Below are 17,007 nucleotides of genomic sequence, written 5' to 3'. Positions count from 1 at the left end.
GCACTGGCTCTGAAGTGGCCCAATTGTGCATAACTGGCACCAGCCTGACGTCTGTCCTCAGCAGGCTGGAGAGCCCGTCAGCTCTGGACATCAACCCACTGGTCCTAGGAGCCTCCCTGCCTCTGCCTCTAGAGGTCATCCTGCCTTGCCAAGTGCCTGGGTCTGGCAAAAATGTTTCAAAGGGGACAGGGAATTCAGAGGTCCACCTGTACCTCTTTTCTGTTGAGGAAATCCCCACTGTAACAGGAAGACATGGGCCAAAAAATAGCTCTTATTCTTCATAATCAGGTATCTAGAAATGCCGCTCCGGTAGGCAGGTACCACCAGCCTAGCTGCTCTCAAAACATCATAGCTTCAGAAAGCAACTTGTAAATCTCAGCTAGTGCCAAATTGCTTATCTTGGCACTAGGCAGCCCTGTATTCTATATGTAGACAGTGAAGACTGAGATCATGGATGCCACACATTCCAGTTTAGTGGTCATTAAGCACCTGTCATATTTTGGACATGGGGTTAGCCCCTGAAGATCTCGAGGTGACTGAGTGAGTGGTAGCCCCCTGCCTAGAGAAGTCTGCTCTGCTTAGGAGACGTGACCAGTCCCAAAGCAGATAATTTCACAAACAGGAGCTGAGTAGTCCTTCCTGTTTTCTCCCACCCCTGTAAGGGCTGTTTGTACCAGAGCCTGTGAATGAGACCAGAAATGAGAAACAGCCTAGAAGTTGAGACATATGTTAGGCAAGACTCCGTGGAACATGCTGCTCTGTTCATTCTGACCGGAATACTTGGCCCTTTGTGGTCAGCGTCAACTAAAGGCCAAGATTTTACCTCCCCCTTCCCCCACCGAAGCCTAGCTTTACTCCCCTCCCCCAGCCTCTCCCATCGGCCTTATCCTGCCTCCACCTTTCGGTTTCAGGTGCCTGACTGTATACAGGCATTTGAGACCTGTGGGAATGCCCGGCAGCACTTATAGCCTCTGAACTGGTCAAGGGAATTGAGTAAGGAACCAAATTCAGAGTATTTCTTTGTCTCTTTTATCTGGCCTCAGGGCCAGCAGGGCAGGTTTCTGCAAGTTTCACTGTTAAGCTGCTTTTCCCCAAAGGCCGCAAAGCAGTCTGGGAGAGCGGGAAGCAGATTAAATTAATCTCAGTGTGCTGAGCTTGGCAGGGGGCGAGATTGTGTTCGGTCATTCCAGGAATAGCCCAAACTCCTTTGTTACTAAAGCAGATGAGGAGCTATTGGTCTACAAGATGACTGCAAAGCGAAGTAGCTGTGAACCTTTGTATATTCATAAAACACTCTCCCATCTGTCCCTTGGATTCTGTCTCTCCTTTGATCTGCCCTGGGTTACAATGGGGAGTGGTAGTTTCTAATGTGGTGCAAGAGTTTTTTAGTGTGTTCTCTCTCTTAACAAGATCTTTTTTAAAAAACAACCTCAAATTCCAAAAAGTTTTGCTTCCCAGAGTTAAGCATTGGCTCTGTAGCCTTTGAGCTGGTGACCATATCTGCTCACGAATGTATCTGGCATGAAGACAGACTCTGACCTCAAGAGTGATCTTCTGTCTTGCAGTGAACATTAATAGGCATAGATCTGAGACAGGAGTGGGGGATGGAGGCAGGGAAGTCAAGCAAGGATAGAGGGATCCCACAAAAGACAAGGTCAGAGGGGGGCTGTTTTCTGATGACTATCAGCGAAAGAGGCAGGAGGTGGGAGTGATCCCAGAATTAAGAGGAGAATGGATTAATTCCATGGAAGAATTCATTAAACTGAAACAAGGGAATTAATACTTTCTACCTATGCTCTCAGTCAGAGATGTGACTGTCTTTAAAGCAAACACAGAAAACCAAAAATCTTACCAACCAGATCTCTTACATGACTACACCTGACAGATGATGCTTAGTATTAACTAGGTACCTGATGTTAAAAGATGTGGGCAGAGAGGGCCTAGGATGATTACGAATTTGTAGCCTTTTTATGTAAGAAATACCTGAAAGAACAGAAGGGCTTTGTCCTGGAGGAGAGAAGACTGTGGTCATGAGTGACATCCTTCATGACACCAGGAGCATTCTCAAGCATTTTCTCGTAAGCTAGCACGCACTGCCTTTCACTGGCTCATTAGTCCTCACAGCAGCACTCTAAGGTAGGCGTAGGATCCTTATTTCACAGCCAGTGAAGCTGAGGCTTAGAGAGGGACAATGACTTGCCCGCAGTTGACTCAATGATAGAGACCAGTCTCTAAGCCAGGTCTAAGCCCGTGTCTCTGCCTGTTAGACAAATCTGATTGGCCTTGTTCTCTGTGAGTTTAAGGAACAGAACGAGGATAACTGGGCAGAAATTAATAGAAAGACAGATTTTGGGCTCGTTATATAAGGAATCACTAATGAGCCGTCCAAGGTGGGAACAAACTGCTTCCAGAGTAGTGAGTTTCTTTGTCGCTGGAGGTATTCAAACAAATGCCAGAAAATCATTGGGTGGGCATATTATAGAAAATTTTCAAGCATTGGCAAGAGATCGAACCAGACTTTCCAATCCTATAATTGTATAATCTGCAGTTCATTAGACTCATCAGGGAATATTTTTTACCAGGCTCTAATTGGGAGGAAATAGCCATCATCTAAAAAACAAAATTTTAGCTTTCATAGTAATCTATGTTAGTAATTCATTTTAAATAAAATAGATGTTTCTTAGCATATGCAAAACATAAAAGCAGAGAAAATGTAATTGTGTAAAGGCAGAGTTAAATATTTAAAATTTAAAAGCACAGAAACTTAATTTGATTGAATCATCAACTCAGTCCTCCTAGTTATTCATAGATTGTGAGGGAAAGGGGTTTTTTCTACGTTCTCAAACATGGATGTGAGGGCCATCTGGCTGCAACACCTGTCACCCCATTGATCGGCAGAGTTGATTCCGCTGATCTGGCTGGCTACGCAGGTGTCCCCTTCCTCCTTCACTGCTCCATGTGCGTCCCTCCTGAACCAGCAGCTGGGTCAAAGAGGACGACCATCCCGTAGAGGAGGGCCGTCCCTCAGTCAAGGGCATACGAGTAGCTGCCCTCCCCTGCTAGAACCTCCAGACAAGCTCTCAAGTTCTCAGACACCTTTGCAATTGGAAAGACTAATTCTAAAAGAAAGGAAATGTTTCCATCTCTACAGAAAAGCCAAAGCTGTTTAAAAATTTTTTTTCAAGTGAATATAGGCACTTAATGGAAACTTTCTAACTTACTGGTATAACTGTGTCTCAAACAAACAAAAAAAACTTCATTGGTCCTTTCTCTTAGATGGCCCCTGCTCAGCTCAGAAGTTTATTATGTAGCTGAATTATGGAGGACTGAGTACTAAAGACATGAGTCATAGTCAACTCTTGTTCATTAAAGGTTTATCCTGGTTTAGTTAGCATTAGAACCACCAGTAAGAACATGAGCTTGAGGCTGGGCGCGGTGGCTCATGCCTGTAATCCCAGCACTTTGCGAGGCTGAGGCAGGTGGACCACCTGAGATCAGGAGTTCGAGACCAGCCTGGCCAACATGGTGAAACCCAGTCCCTACTAAAAATACAAAAATTAGCCGGGTATGGTGGTACGTGCCTGTAATCCCAGCTACTCAGGAGGCCAAGGCAGGAGAATCGCTTGAACCTGAGAGGCAGAGGTTGCAGTGAGCATAGGTCGCACCACTGCGTTCCAGCCTGGGTGACAGAGTGAGACTCCATCTAAAAAAAAAAACAACAACAACAACAACAACAAAAACATGAGCTTGAGTGGACCAAGACCCATTATGAACTAGTCATAAACCATCTTTTCTTTCCCCCCCTCCCCCCCCAAGATAGAGTCTTGCTCTGTCGCCCAGGCTGGAGGGGGGTGGCGAGATCTCAGCTCACTGCAGCCTCCACCCCCTGGGTTCAAGCAGTTCTCCTGCCTCAGCCTCCTGAGTAGCTGGGATTACAGGCACGCACCACCATGCCTGGATAATTTTTGTATTCTTAGTAGAGACAGGGTTTCACCATGTTGGCCAGGCTGGTCTTCAACTCTTGACCTGGTGATCCACCCGCCTCGGTCTTCCAAAGTGCTGAGATTACAGGTGTGAGCCGCCATGCCTGGCCCTAAACCACCTTTTCTCAAACGTGTCTGTTTTGACTTTTCCATACTATATAATTAAGCACAAAGAATTCCTATTCTGTGGTGGTATTATGGATCTTTAACATGAAATATGAGCATCTTCATATAAAGTTTTATGCAAAGATTACTTAACAAGTGTGCTGAAATCACTTTTAAAGTATATATCACTCATACCTCACTGGGGTATGCTTTATATTAATGGACTTGTTGCAATAAAGAAATGGCTTTTTCTTTTCTTTTTTAGGAAGTTCCAGGTTAAAGGCAGCCTCAGCTCACGGGGCAGTTGATGGTGGTAGAGAACAGCCCTGGGAAGGGGGCGGGAGAGAGTTACAGAAGTGAGGAGATGAAGTCTTGCACGTCTAAGACAATGAGACAGCTCATGAGAGATGCTGTTTGAAGTGGAAGAGAGGAAGTTCACTGTCGTGTGGTTGTGTATAGGCATGTAATCTCACTTTCTGGAGCACTCTGTTAGGTCTTTTAGAGGAAGGCTAGCAGGCCCATGGGGAAGGAGAATTAGGAAAGGTTGTCCACAGAGAGACAGAGGATCTATGATTTGGTGAGGATCAGATTAGATAAGAAGCTGACATCTGGGCATGAGGACTGATTTTGAGAGCACTCAGCTCAGCAGAAACAGCAGAGAAAATCTCAGCCTCTGCCTAGCAGCCTTCTTAGCAGAGAAATGGAATTTCTGCATATTTCAATGCACTGACCCCAGATGACCAGTCTCTGAATAGTCAAATATACATGATAGCCTTTACTTGGGGTTCAGCACCCACATTCCCTTGGCATCAATTTCTGGGGTTCAGTGTTTTGACATTTCACAGGGCTCTTAAAATCCCTCCTCTAAGGAACCTCGTAGAAGCTTCTCTTTATCACACTCAAAGCCCTATACCTAGCTCAGCTTCTTGTCCTGGTTTTAGATGTCACCTTGAATACTTTTCTCCCTCAAACTGAGTATTAACCTTATTTGTTCAAATCAGTATCGACCAAGGTCTTAACTCCTCAAAGATAGAATTCCCGTCTGTTTATCCGGGTTAACTGTTCATAGCACGGTTGGGAAATGAAGAAACACTGCTAGCTGATTAGCTGCATGCGTTGTTGTGGAACTGACTATACTCATACTTGGTGATGTGTCCATTGAAACTGTGCCACTTTTAAATGGGTCACTGAGGGGAGGGGACTGCTTGGTTTGCATTGTCGCTTGGCCCCACGGTAAAAGCCGGGCGCAGTTTGAGTCCTTGCTGTCCCTCCCTGGGCGTGGACTCTGGTTCTGATCTCCCCTGCTTTGTTTTCCTACTCTCTCTCGTGCAGAGACAGGGCAGGGCATTGTTCATGCACTGACCGACCTCAGCAGCCCCGGCATGACCTCAGGGAACGGAAACTCTGCCTCCAGCATCGCCGGCACTGCCCCCCAGAATGGTGAGAATAAACCACCACAGGCCATTGTGAAACCCCAAATCCTGACGCATGTTATCGAAGGGTTTGTGATCCAGGAGGGGGCGGAGCCTTTCCCGGTACGGACTACTTCTTTTCCCCTTTTTTTTTTAAGTATATTTTGGATGTGTCTTAGAATATTTTTACATTTCCATGTAAAATTTCTGAAAATGTGAACAATTTGCTCTTTCCTTGCTAACTTCCTCCCCCAAAGAATATAGAGCCATTTCTTTCTAGGATTATCTTTCCAAGGTCCAGAAGAGGGGGGTCAGTGATCAGGAATAATTGACAAGACCCTTGGTTAGAAGTTTCCCACACAAACTCAGGTGTGTCCCTGCCTGTTGATGTGTGAACCCTTGGTTAAAAGGGAGTTCACTGTGGGATATTTGGTGAGAGATGATGGGTTTTGGGAAATTAGATTTCATTGAGTTTTGAATGCCAAAACCTCTGAATGGCAAAACTTCGGCCAGTTAGGAACAAAAGGAATTGCACAGAACAGAATTCTCCAGATACGTGTATCAGAAATGAATGTGAGGAAACAGGGTCACAACCTGAAGCTTGTTTTCTGGGGACAGAGCCTTGAAAGGGGAGTTAATGAGATTGAGGGGCACTCAGAAAGGTCACGATGGAAGCCTAAGACTAACAAGAAATATCCACGAGCCACGAAGATGGGTTATTGACCAAAGCACCCAGAGCTGCTTCTGTGCAGTGTGCACTGGAGACAGTGGTGCTGCCCTGTGGGTGTGGAGGAGCCCAGAGCCAGCGGCACACCAGCCTCTGTTCTGATGAAAAGTATCTGGCTGTTGGAGAAGACACCTTTCTGGGATACCATCTGCCTTTTCCTCATTCTTTGGTTCCATGAGTGGTTTGATTAGTCTGCAGAAGACGCGGAGCTTGATTAACTGAGATGGGTGAACTGCTCCTGTAAAATGCCAAAAGACACATAGCTTCTTGTCTTCTTTCCCACTGGAGGTTGTCCAAGGCCAGTGGCAAAGAAATCTGCCTGGAACACCTTAGCTAGAAGTGGCTCTCGCTCTGTTACATCCCTTCCCTGTTAGACTGGGCCTCCTAGAGTAACACTAGAAACCACCTGATCTCATGGGGTGGAGGCAGATTGCATAGCACCCCCAGCATTGCCCTAGAGTCGGTGCCACGTGACTGGCTACCAGGCTGCCTAAACACAGGCCACAAAAGGAGATCTAAACGCGTAAATAAGCTGCTCTGGGGTTCTGACAACTGAGAGTTCATTGGCTCTGTGGCCCAGGGTCTGTTTTTTCCTGCTATACTCTGTGGCGGCCTGTACCTCTGGCTTGGGTCAGGCATTGGGGTAAGGTGGAGAACAGTAAAAAAATCAGAAAATGGGTGCTGAGTCTCTCTCTCGTATGTACAGCCTCACACAGACTCCGCTCTGTCCTTGCCTGGAGATGCGTGGGTACTGGGTCTTGGTGCTTGATCTGGCACTGTGGGAAACCTGATCTCAGCCCTTAGACTCTTACTGGAATAGACATTTTCCTAATCTCCTGAGCCATCCGTTGGTCCTGGACAGAAGCCATCCCTGTACTTTGCCCATTAGCATCTTACCTCGTGAGCCAACCAGCAAAATAGGGCCTTGAGCCCAGCACACTTGGATGATGACATGGGGGAAGGTTTGAGGAGGGCTGGCCTCTGTGCCTGGATACTTTATACGTGTAATTGTGATGAGGATGGATAGCAAGGAAGCCGCTCCCACCTGACCCTCACGGCCTCCGTGTTACCTGTCCTCTAGGTGGGACGCTCGTCCCTGCTGGTGGGGAATCTCAAGAAGAAGTATGCACAGGGGTTCCTGCCTGAGAAACTTCCACAGCAGGATCACACCACCACCACTGACTCGGAGATGGAGGAGCCCTATCTGCAAGGTGGGCATCTCAGACCCTGAATCTCTCGGCCTCCCAGCGTGGCTGGAAAGGCAGGCCTCACACACTTCCTCTCTCTGTTTCCCCAGAGGAACCCTGAGCCAGCGAGTCTGTAAACATTTCCCCCAGCACCTCCTCAGCCTCCTTCCCTCAAAAAGAGGGATAGGGGAAATCACGGGAACCATGTGTCCTCTGCTCCCCCAATCCCCCTCCAGCCAACCACAGGATCCCAAGAATGGCTTTTCCTGTGGGAATCATTGGCAAGTTTTAGGCATGACTGTAGGAGTGGCCCCAGGCAAGTCCTGCCCTTCGTCCCTGCCTTGAGACTGGGGCCAGCTCTAGGTCACAGCAGAGACCAGGCAAGGCTGCTCTTTCCACATGAAGCACTGACAGAGCTGCACAGCTGCAGGAGCGTGGGCTCCTGAGGTCTTTTACTGGGTCAGCAGCCAGCTGCATAGATCAAGGTGTGATGATGCCAGCGGAGCAGCTGTGACAGCATCCAGAGTATTTCCTGGGGGCTCCTGCTTTCTTCCACAGTCATTTGATGCTGATTCTTCCCCACCTGTGTTTTGCCTCAGACTCAGACCACGTGGAAGAAAAAAATGTCAAGTCTACAAGGGGCATCCCCAGACACCCTTGAGTGCATTCCAGGGGTGAGAACCACTGGCATTTTCCATGCTAGAATGCTGCTGTATGTCACAGCTGTGGGAGCAGGAGGACCAGGCAGGATGGAGTAGGGAGGCCCCGTGGTGGGGCTGGCCACAGTCCTGCAGGAATTTCTCATTCTCCACCCTACCCATTTCTATACTTTTCAGAATCCAAAGAGGAGGGTGCTCCCCTCAAACTCAAGTGTGAGCTCTGTGGCCGGGTGGACTTTGCCTATAAGTTCAAGCGTTCCAAGCGCTTCTGTTCCATGGCTTGTGCAAAGAGGTGAGTGGCCCCAGCCCCCTCCATTTCCCCAGGACTGCACTTTATGTCCCACCTCCTGCCATTAATAGTCTACCCCAGGAGGTCCATAGGGGTGGCTTCTCCAGTTTCCTAGTTCCTCGACCCACCTGGAAGCAGGATGGCATCCCTAATTCAACAAGCACGAGAAGCCAGAACCCCTAAGAGCAGGTGGGAGAGAGCAGCGGGAGTCCAAGGAAAAGCCGCAGTGCTTTGGCTCGGCTGGCCCTCCTGGGCTCCACTGGCACCCATTCGCCTTTCCTAGCATTGACAGCCCCTGCCTTGTTAGGGTAAGCCTTACCCAGAACCACAGCTATAGTGTTCCCTTGGTGAGCTCTCGCCCAGCATAGATCACTAATGGTCATCATAAAAACCACTGCCATTTCCTGAGAACCTGCTGTGTGCTAGTCACTGTGCCAGTCAATTGATACGATTATCTCATCTTCAAAATAACTCCCAAGACAGGTATTACTATTGTCCCCTTTATACAGGTTAGGAAGCCAAAGTACAAAGGAGTAGTAGTGCCTCAGATAACATAGCTAATAAGCCATGGGCCTGGGGATTTAGGCTTGTCCAATTCTAAAGCCATGTGTGGTCTTTGTACCACAATGGAAGCAACAGCTGACCTTGAAGCCCTGAAATCCCAGAAGAGAAGAAATCTCTAGGTCCCAGACAGAGGTGTTCTGCATGCCAAGCTAGAGTTCAGCTATCTTCAGCCCTCATTCCCCTCAGGCTGTTGGAGCAGCCAGGCCACTCCCCAGCAGGACAGTGGACAGTAGTTTCCCGTCACAGGGTAACATTTATAGTGGAATAAGTCAGGTGTGAGCTTTCGCCCTGGTCCAAGTCCAGGTGTCTCAAACATTTTACAGACATTATCTCATGTTGTAAGACCAGACCTAGAAAGTGAGTGGTATTACCCCCAACTCCAGATAAGGAAACGGAGGATCAGGGCTTAAGTGACTTAAACCCAAAGTCACACAGCTAGTAGTTAGTGATGGAGTTAGGATCTGAACCAATAGATGGACTCAAAATTTGTCAGACAGCTTGGCTGTGCTCATTCTGCCTACGGCCCATAAGCACAATGACTACTGTGACATCCCCTGTTCCCCTGTCCCTGAAGGTACAACGTGGGATGCACCAAACGGGTGGGACTTTTCCACTCAGACCGGAGCAAGCTGCAGAAGGCAGGAGCTGCGACCCACAACCGCCGTCGGGCCAGCAAAGCCAGTCTGCCACCACTTACCAAGGATACCAAGAAGCAGGTAAGAGGCGGGCAGAGCCTGAAGCTCCATCCCCACAGTCCCCACAGCTTCCCTTCCATGGCCCTCGACACCACGGTCCCCTCCAGCTGCCGACTTCAGCGCACTCTGCTGTGCTCTCATTCCTTGTAGACCTGTCCAGTCGAGCCTTCTGCACCCCAGTAGGTCCCTTCATTTAGACCCATGGGTGCTTACAAGGTTCCCTGCCCCCTTCCGTGGCCTTGCCTCAACATCACCCCACCTTCCAGTTTGCCTCCATCCTTGGCTTCTGGGGCCACGGAAATGGGGTCTCCCCTGGGCTGCTCAGGTAACCTCCTGCCTTACGTGGAGGGCTGGGTGAGAAGGCAGCCTCCACCCTTTGTTTTGCCACCTTTTTGCCTCCCTGAACACGCGAGCACAGAGTTCTTGAAGGTCTCTACCAGGAACATGGGTATTCAGTCATTAAATATTTTTTAGCACCAGCTGTATGCCAGAAACTCTGTTAGGCACTAGGCTCTAAGGACACAGTCTCGCCTTAAAGGAACTCCACAGCATGGTGTGATGTTTTATAACCTTATGTATAATTTTGCCTTATTTTTTTTTTGTCTTAAACCTCCTTAAGAATGGTCCAAAGCTGTGTACGTACAGAAGAAATGTTACATGCTATTTCAAGTGGCTCTGTGATCACCTCCTAGAACTCAGAGCCCTGCTTTAAAACTCATGTTTAGAAAAAGATAATTGCAGTATTGTGTGGTAGACACTACAATACTAAGAGGGACTAACTCTGCCTAGGGTAGGAGACAGGACAGCATGGAAGATGCTGTTAGATCTGGGAACTCAGATGTGTAGTAGTAGGCCAAGTAGAAAAAGGAGAAATACCTCCTTTGTTCATCACTGCTGCTAGAGATGGTTTGTTCCCCCATCCTGAAGAAAACTCTCTGCTCCCAGCCAACAGGCACTGTGCCCCTTTCGGTTACTGCTGCTTTGCAGCTAACACACAGCCAGGAAGACTCCAGCCGTTGCTCAGATAACTCAAGCTATGAGGAACCCTTGTCACCCATCTCAGCCAGCTCATCTACTTCCCGCCGGCGACAAGGCCAGCGGGACCTGGAGCTCCCCGACATGCATATGCGGGACCTGGTGGGCATGGGACACCACTTCCTGCCAAGTGAGCCCACCAAGTGGAATGTAGAAGACGTCTACGAATTCATCCGCTCTCTGCCAGGTAAGGCCCTTGGAAATTCCATGTCTCCCCGGAATAGCAAGGAAAGAGAAAATGAGAGACCCTCCCACCACCAGGAGGATTAGGTAGTTTAGTTAATGACTCAGGTTCAGGAACTGGGGTGCAGAAATGAGTGAGATGAGCTCCCTGCCTATAAGAGCTTGCTTATATTCAGCATAGAATGCAAACTATAAATATTCCATAGCTGTAATTCTGTATATTTTCTGGCATGGGAAGTGATCTGTGTGAAATACAGAGATGATAATGTAATTAACTGTCTCTCTCTCCTGGGAGAGATTAGGAGGGGAGTCAGGTAGAGTGTAGGATATGTGTCAGGAACATCAAAATTAAGAAAATAGCCAGGTGTGGTGGCTCACACCTATAGTCCCAGCACTTTGGGAGGCTGAGGTGGAAGGATTGCGTGAGGTCAGGAGTTTGAGAACAGCCTGGGCAACATGGTGAGACCTGTCTCTACCAAAAAAAAAAAAAAAAAATTTAATTAAGAAAATGTAAACTAAATGACAGTAGACAGACAAGTATGCCTTTGCTGGATGGAGAGACTGCAAGAGGGCGCACATGCAGAGGCATGAAGATAGGGAAGTCTGTGGTATGGCCAGACATGGCACAGAGCCCTGCGTGGTGGAGCACAAGTGGTGGTGAGGCCCGGGATCTAGGAGCCAGCTGTAAGAGGCAAGCCTTACATCATTCACAGATGCCTTCAGTGGGGCCTGGATGCATTACTGTTTTTCTGCCAGTCTCACTCATACACCGACCAGGTCAGGTATTCATGGTAACCACAAGCCTCTTTCTCAAGAGACTGCAGTGTGGTTAAGAGCACAGACTTCTGAGTCACACAGAACTGGGTTCAAATTCTGGCTCTGTCACTTAACCTAGTATGTTATCTCTTCATCCCCAAAATTTTTATTACACAGTTGCTGTGGGTAAGGAATTCAGGAGTGGCTTCCTGGGCCGTTCTGCCTCAGGTGTCTTATGAGGTTACAATTAAGATTTATCAGCCAAGGCTGAGGTCACGTGAATACTGAAGAGCTGTGGGATCTCTTCCAAGGTGCCTCACTCACGTGATTTGCCCTGGGCTGGCTGTTGGCAAGAGGCCTTGGTTCTTGTCTATATGGGCCTCTCCAGAGGGCTGCTCGAGTGTTCTCATGATATGCATGGCAGTGGGATGTCCCCACAGGTAGGGATCCAGGAGTGCAAGGTAGAAGCCACTGTGCCCTTTATGATCTAGCCTCTGAAGCCACGTACTGGCATTTTCACAATATATTTTTTTAATTAAAATTTTTCACAATATCTTATGGGTCACACAGGTCAGTCTTACTCATTGTGAGAGGGCATGAACTGGGAAGCAAGGATTATTGGGAGCCATTCAGAGACAAGCCATGTAGTTCACCATGACCCCCAGAAATTTGTGTTCCTTCCTCATGCAGAATACCCTCACCGCCACCAAATCCCCGACAGTTTGGTCCCATGACAGCATCAGTTTGAAGTCCAGGCTCTCATCATTGAGGTGAGATGAGGCTCCTGGGGTCCAGTTCTTCAAGTATAGGTCCTCTCAGTCTGAAGATCTGAGAACTAGAGAGAGAGGCTATCTGCTCCCTTCCACAAACCCAATGCACAGTGGGACAGCCATAGGATAACCATTACAGACATGCCCATCCAAAAAGGGAGAAACAGGGAGCGTACAAGAGTCGCTGATCCATTCCAGTTCCGAAATCCGCTAGGGTTTATGGTGGCATTTCCTCAATTGGGACTCAAAGCCTGGGAGTGATTTCTGTCTTGGTTCTGCCCTCTGAGTTCTCCTTCCTTTTCTGTGAAAAGTAGCCTGTATTTTCAGTGTAGTCGTTTTCTCAGCCTGCTTCCTCCTTTTTATTTTATATTACCTTTGACTTTTTTGTTTTTTGTTTTTGAGATAGAGGCTTGCTCCATCACCCAGGCTATTGTGCAATGGCGTGATCTCGGCTCACTGCAACCTCCGCCTCCTGGGTTCAAGCAATTCTGCCTCAGCCTCTTGAGTAGCTGGGATTACAGACATTCGCCACCACACACAGCTAATTTTTGTATTTTAGTAGAGATGGGGTTTCACCATGTTGGCAGGCTGGTCTCAAACTCCTTACCTCAGGCGATCCACCCACCTCAGCCTCCTAAAGTGCTGGGATTATAGGCGTGAGCCACTGCGCCCGGCCTACCTTTGACTCTTAAAATCAGTAATTCAGTATTTCTTAAAATAATTGTGGGTTTTCTGGGAATCTTGTTGGGGTCCATTCCATTAGACAAAAACCACACCCAGAATTATCTTCAAGGGTAAGCTGTTGTCTGCATTGGTATTCTTCTGAAGCTGAGGGGCAGCATGGACAGTGCCCTTCACATTCTTAGAAACCCTGCTGTTGAAAAGAGGATCTGCGAGGCATGCCTAGAAAATCCGTCGAGAGCCTTTGGATTGAATAGCTCTTTGAGGCATCACTTTAGATCTTTCTGAAGTCTTCACAAAAAGATTTAAGTCACATCCTAAGTTTAATCTGTAGACCGTGTTTTCTTGACTGTGCCCTGAATTTGATCTTTGCCTAGAAACCATTTCTTAATGTTAGCATCATGTGCCATCTGGAGAGGCTGGGCATTTTTAAAACCGGCAGATCCCGGTTCCTTTATGTTGAACAGTTTTGTTTGTTTGTTTTTACCTTCTCTCTCTCCTATTTTACTGTGAGCAGCAGTAAGAAGCCAAGCAACACCTTCCACATTCTGCCTGAAAATCTCCTTAGCTAGACCACCCACTTCATGAGGTACATTCAACTTACATTTCTGCTACCAACCACATTTTTACAAAATGTTCTTTTATTTCATAACAGAGACCCTGTTTCTTCCAATCTCCACTAAGAGTTTCCTCACTTTCCTTTAGGCCTCCCCAGCAGCTTCCCTAAAGGCCATGAGACTTCTATATACAGTCTCTCAAAGCACCTTAGACACTCACGCTTTCCACAGAGTCCTTCTGGCTCCTGCCTGTGGCCAGTTCTGAGGCCACGCCCACATCTATAGAGCTGTTTGATGTCAGCACTCCTTTTCCAGGTACCAGAATCTGCATTAGTTACCTATTGCCATGATGTAAATTATTCCAGAACTCAGTGACTTTAAGCAGCAATCACTTGTCATCTCAAGGGCCATGTGGGTCAGGAATCGAGTGGCTCGGCTGGGCAGTCCTGGTATGAGGCTCCTGGTGTCCAGTTCCTCTTAGTCTAAGAACTAGAAACAGAGAGGTTATCTGCTCCCTTCCACAGACCCAGTGTATGAGTTTGAGGTCATATGAGGTCTCAGGGAAGACGCCATACAGGCTGCAGTGTCTGAGGTCTGGAGCCAGAAAACCCACTTCCAGCACGGTTCACTCACACGGCAAGGAGGCCGGGGACCACCAGGGCCTTGGCTGCTCTCCACGCATGCCTCTCCAAAGGGTTGCTGGGGTGGCTTACTGGTAGCTGGCTTACTCTGCAGTAACCCAGGCAGAAGAGTGAGGTGAGAACTGCTGTGCCCTTTATGATCTAGCCTCAGAAATCACACGCTGTCACTTCCTCAGCACTTTAGTGGACATGGGTCCGCCCAGTTCATGGAGCAGGGGTCTGAACAGGGGAACATAGGAGGAGGCCCAGATCGCGGCTGCTGTGGGTGAGTTGCACAGCCTCTCTCAAGCTGCAAAATAAGAACAGCAGCGCCTTCCTCAAGGCGTGGTTATGAGGACTAAAAGAAATAATGGATGCAGATAACTAGATCTAGATAACTAGATGCAGTGGCTGCCAGAGGTGAACACTGGCGGCTTGGATTGACACTGTCTTTGGTGGTACCCCCTCAGGCTGCCAGGAGATAGCAGAGGAATTCCGTGCCCAGGAAATCGACGGGCAAGCCCTGCTGCTGCTCAAGGAGGACCACCTGATGAGCGCCATGAACATCAAGCTGGGGCCCGCCCTGAAGATCTACGCCCGCATCAGCATGCTCAAGGACTCCTAGGGCTGGTGGCAGCCAGGATTCTGGCCCAGGGCGCCTCCTCCCGACTGAGCAGAGCCAGACAGACATTCCTGAGGGGCCCAGAAATGGGGCCGGTTGGAGGGCAGGGGCTCTCCCTAGGGGCATAGCTGGTGAGGAGGTCTGGGCACCTCCTCCATGGCTCTCAGGGGCCTTTCATTTCTGTGGGAGGGGCAGAGAGGTAGGTGGCACAGAAGATGGGGCTTTATGCTTGTAAATATTGATAGCACTGGCTTCCTCCAAAGTCCCAATACTCTAGCCCCGCTCTCTTCCCCTCTTTCTGTCCCCCATTTTCCAGGGGGTATATGGTCAGGGCTCCCCAACCTGAGTTGGGTTACTTCAAGGGCAGCCAGCAGGCCTGGATGGAGGCCTAGAAAGCCCTTGCCTTCCTTCCTCCCACTTCTTTCTCCAGGCCTGGTTAACTCTTCCGTTGTCAGCTTCTCCCCCTTCAGCCTGTTTCTGCAGCAGCCAGGGTTCTCCCCCCTACACCCTCTGCAGGTGGAGAGAGAGAAGCTGGGCCCAGCCGGGCCGTGCCTGCTGGCACAGACGCCTTAACGCTGTGTGTATGACTGTGTGACTGTGTGGGAGCCTGGACTGACAGATAGGCCAAGGGCTACTCTCTGGCATCTCCAGGTGTTTTGTAGCAAACAGCCACTTAGTGCTTTGTCCTGGACTCCACTCAGCCTCAGGATGGGGAATAGCCAAGAATGGCAGCCTCAGCGCAGAGGCAAGGTCAGAAAGAGACGGCGCTTCAGAGTTTCCTTTCCAGACACCCCTCCCCGCACTGTGAAGTTCCCCTGACCGCCCTCCTGGTTCACAAAGAGCATTAAGAAAGCTGCGGTGGTCTGAGCAACATAGCCCAAAGGGCTGAGCCTCCTGGCCTGCCTGCCCGCCCACCCTGGGAGTCCCAGTGGTGAGGCTCAGAGAACTGCTAAGGGGAAAGAACAGCTGGAGTTTCTGTTGATGTGAAGAAGGCAGCTCTTGGCCTCCCACTCCCACACTTCTTTGCCTATAAATCTTCCTAGCAGCAATTTGAGCTACCTGAGGAGGAGGCAGGGCAGAAAGGGCGAGGGCCTGCCTCTGACCTGCCGTGTCCTTTGCAGGAAGGAGGTAGGCACCTTTCTGAGCTTATTCTATTCCCCACCCACACCCCCAGGCAGGGTTGGAAATGAAGGACTTTTTTAACCTTTGTTTTGTTTTTTAAAAATAAATCTGTAAAATCTGTCTCTTTGGTGCCTTTCTCCCCTAGGAATGCCTGTCTCTGGGCCCAAATGGCTACTTTTCACCCATACAGACAGGTGGGTCCCTGGGCTGGGGAAGGGACCTTAAGTGGATGGCATATCCTCCACACTTTTCTGGAGCTGGGTCATTTGAGGGTGCCCTCAGCTGCAGTTCACACGGTAGATACCAGCTTTCTTCACACGGTGTCCCTTGGAGTGAGAGGGTCCAGAAGCCCTTTCTGCTCTGCGCCCCCCTACCCGCCATTCCCACTTGGGAGATGATGACTGTTGGGCTAGCAGCCTCTGGACACCTGGGGCAGAACCCAGACTCTCCCATCTTCCAGCACACACCTCTCGATAGAGCTGCACAGCATCCAGAATAGCCTTGGGATGGCTTTGGTTCACTGAGCACTTTTGCATGCTCAAATAGAAAATGATTAGGGCAGAGATGAGGCATCTAAGCCTTGAATAAAGAAGGAGAAAGGGCATTCCAGACCGAGGCATAAGTGCAAAGGCACAAGCATGAACGTGGAAGTGCAAATGAGAGGCAGGTGAGCTGGCTGGATTAGACGTGTGTGCTGCTAACCGTGACCTGTGTTGACCACATGCCTCTGAACCAGGCACTGTGCTAGAAATGAGACTGGGGTGAAGCACAGAATAACCATGTGCCCTCTTGCGTGGAGTGAAATCTACCCCACATCTATGGGGGGAGGGGAAAAAGAGGCAGCTTGGCCTTACTGCTCCTCCCCCTTCATCAGGTTTTTCCCTAAGGGACCATTTCTACCTGTTAAAAATTTAGGTTATGGCTGCTCACATCTGTAAACCCAGCACTTTGGGGAGGCCGATGTGGGAGGATTGCTTGAGGCCAGGAGTTTGAGACCAACCTGGGCAACATAGAGAGACCCCATATCTACAAAAAAATAC

The 17,007-nt window shown here is 49.0% G+C and overlaps 1 protein-coding gene, 1 non-coding gene and 1 pseudogene across 11 annotated transcripts in view, besides 2 other annotated features; all 3 read left to right on the top strand.

Moving 5' to 3' along the window:
- PHC2 (polyhomeotic homolog 2) overlaps window positions 1-16,087 on the top strand; it is a 107,470-nt gene extending 91,383 nt beyond the window's left edge. For all 10 annotated transcript variants that reach the window (NM_001385123.1, NM_001330488.2, NM_001385121.1 and 7 more), the window contains 6 exons: window positions 5,421-5,623; window positions 7,309-7,438; window positions 8,251-8,365; window positions 9,501-9,642; window positions 10,567-10,843; window positions 14,694-16,087. In NM_001385123.1, the coding sequence (NP_001372052.1) occupies window positions 5,421-5,623; window positions 7,309-7,438; window positions 8,251-8,365; window positions 9,501-9,642; window positions 10,567-10,843; window positions 14,694-14,848 (1,022 nt within the window). In that variant the 3' untranslated portion in view covers window positions 14,849-16,087. The remainder of the gene's footprint in view (window positions 1-5,420; window positions 5,624-7,308; window positions 7,439-8,250; window positions 8,366-9,500; window positions 9,643-10,566; window positions 10,844-14,693) is intronic.
- Window positions 2,849-3,147, top strand: RN7SKP16 (RN7SK pseudogene 16; annotated as a pseudogene).
- Window positions 7,221-7,320, top strand: MIR3605 (microRNA 3605). Its single transcript, NR_037400.1, has one exon. It is a non-coding gene; the product is annotated as a microRNA 3605 (primary transcript).
- Window positions 9,129-9,629: an enhancer, noted in NCBI's record as "H3K4me1 hESC enhancer chr1:33795685-33796185 (GRCh37/hg19 assembly coordinates)". NCBI's record gives its function as "activates a minimal SCP1, AML or CMV promoter by ChIP-STARR-seq in naive H9 embryonic stem cells {active_cell/tissue: H9 hESC(naive)}" and the evidence as "EXISTENCE:reporter gene assay evidence [ECO:0000049][PMID:30033119]".
- Window positions 9,630-10,130: an enhancer, noted in NCBI's record as "H3K4me1 hESC enhancer chr1:33795184-33795684 (GRCh37/hg19 assembly coordinates)". NCBI's record gives its function as "activates a minimal SCP1, AML or CMV promoter by ChIP-STARR-seq in naive H9 embryonic stem cells {active_cell/tissue: H9 hESC(naive)}" and the evidence as "EXISTENCE:reporter gene assay evidence [ECO:0000049][PMID:30033119]".
- Window positions 16,088-17,007: the final 920 nt, after the last annotated feature.

The sequence above is a fragment of the Homo sapiens genome, chromosome 1 (assembly GCF_000001405.40).
Source record: "Homo sapiens chromosome 1, GRCh38.p14 Primary Assembly".
Lineage (NCBI taxonomy): Eukaryota > Metazoa > Chordata > Mammalia > Primates > Hominidae > Homo > Homo sapiens.
Note: the sequence above shows the minus strand (reverse complement) of the source record. Positions and strands in the feature narration are given on the sequence as shown.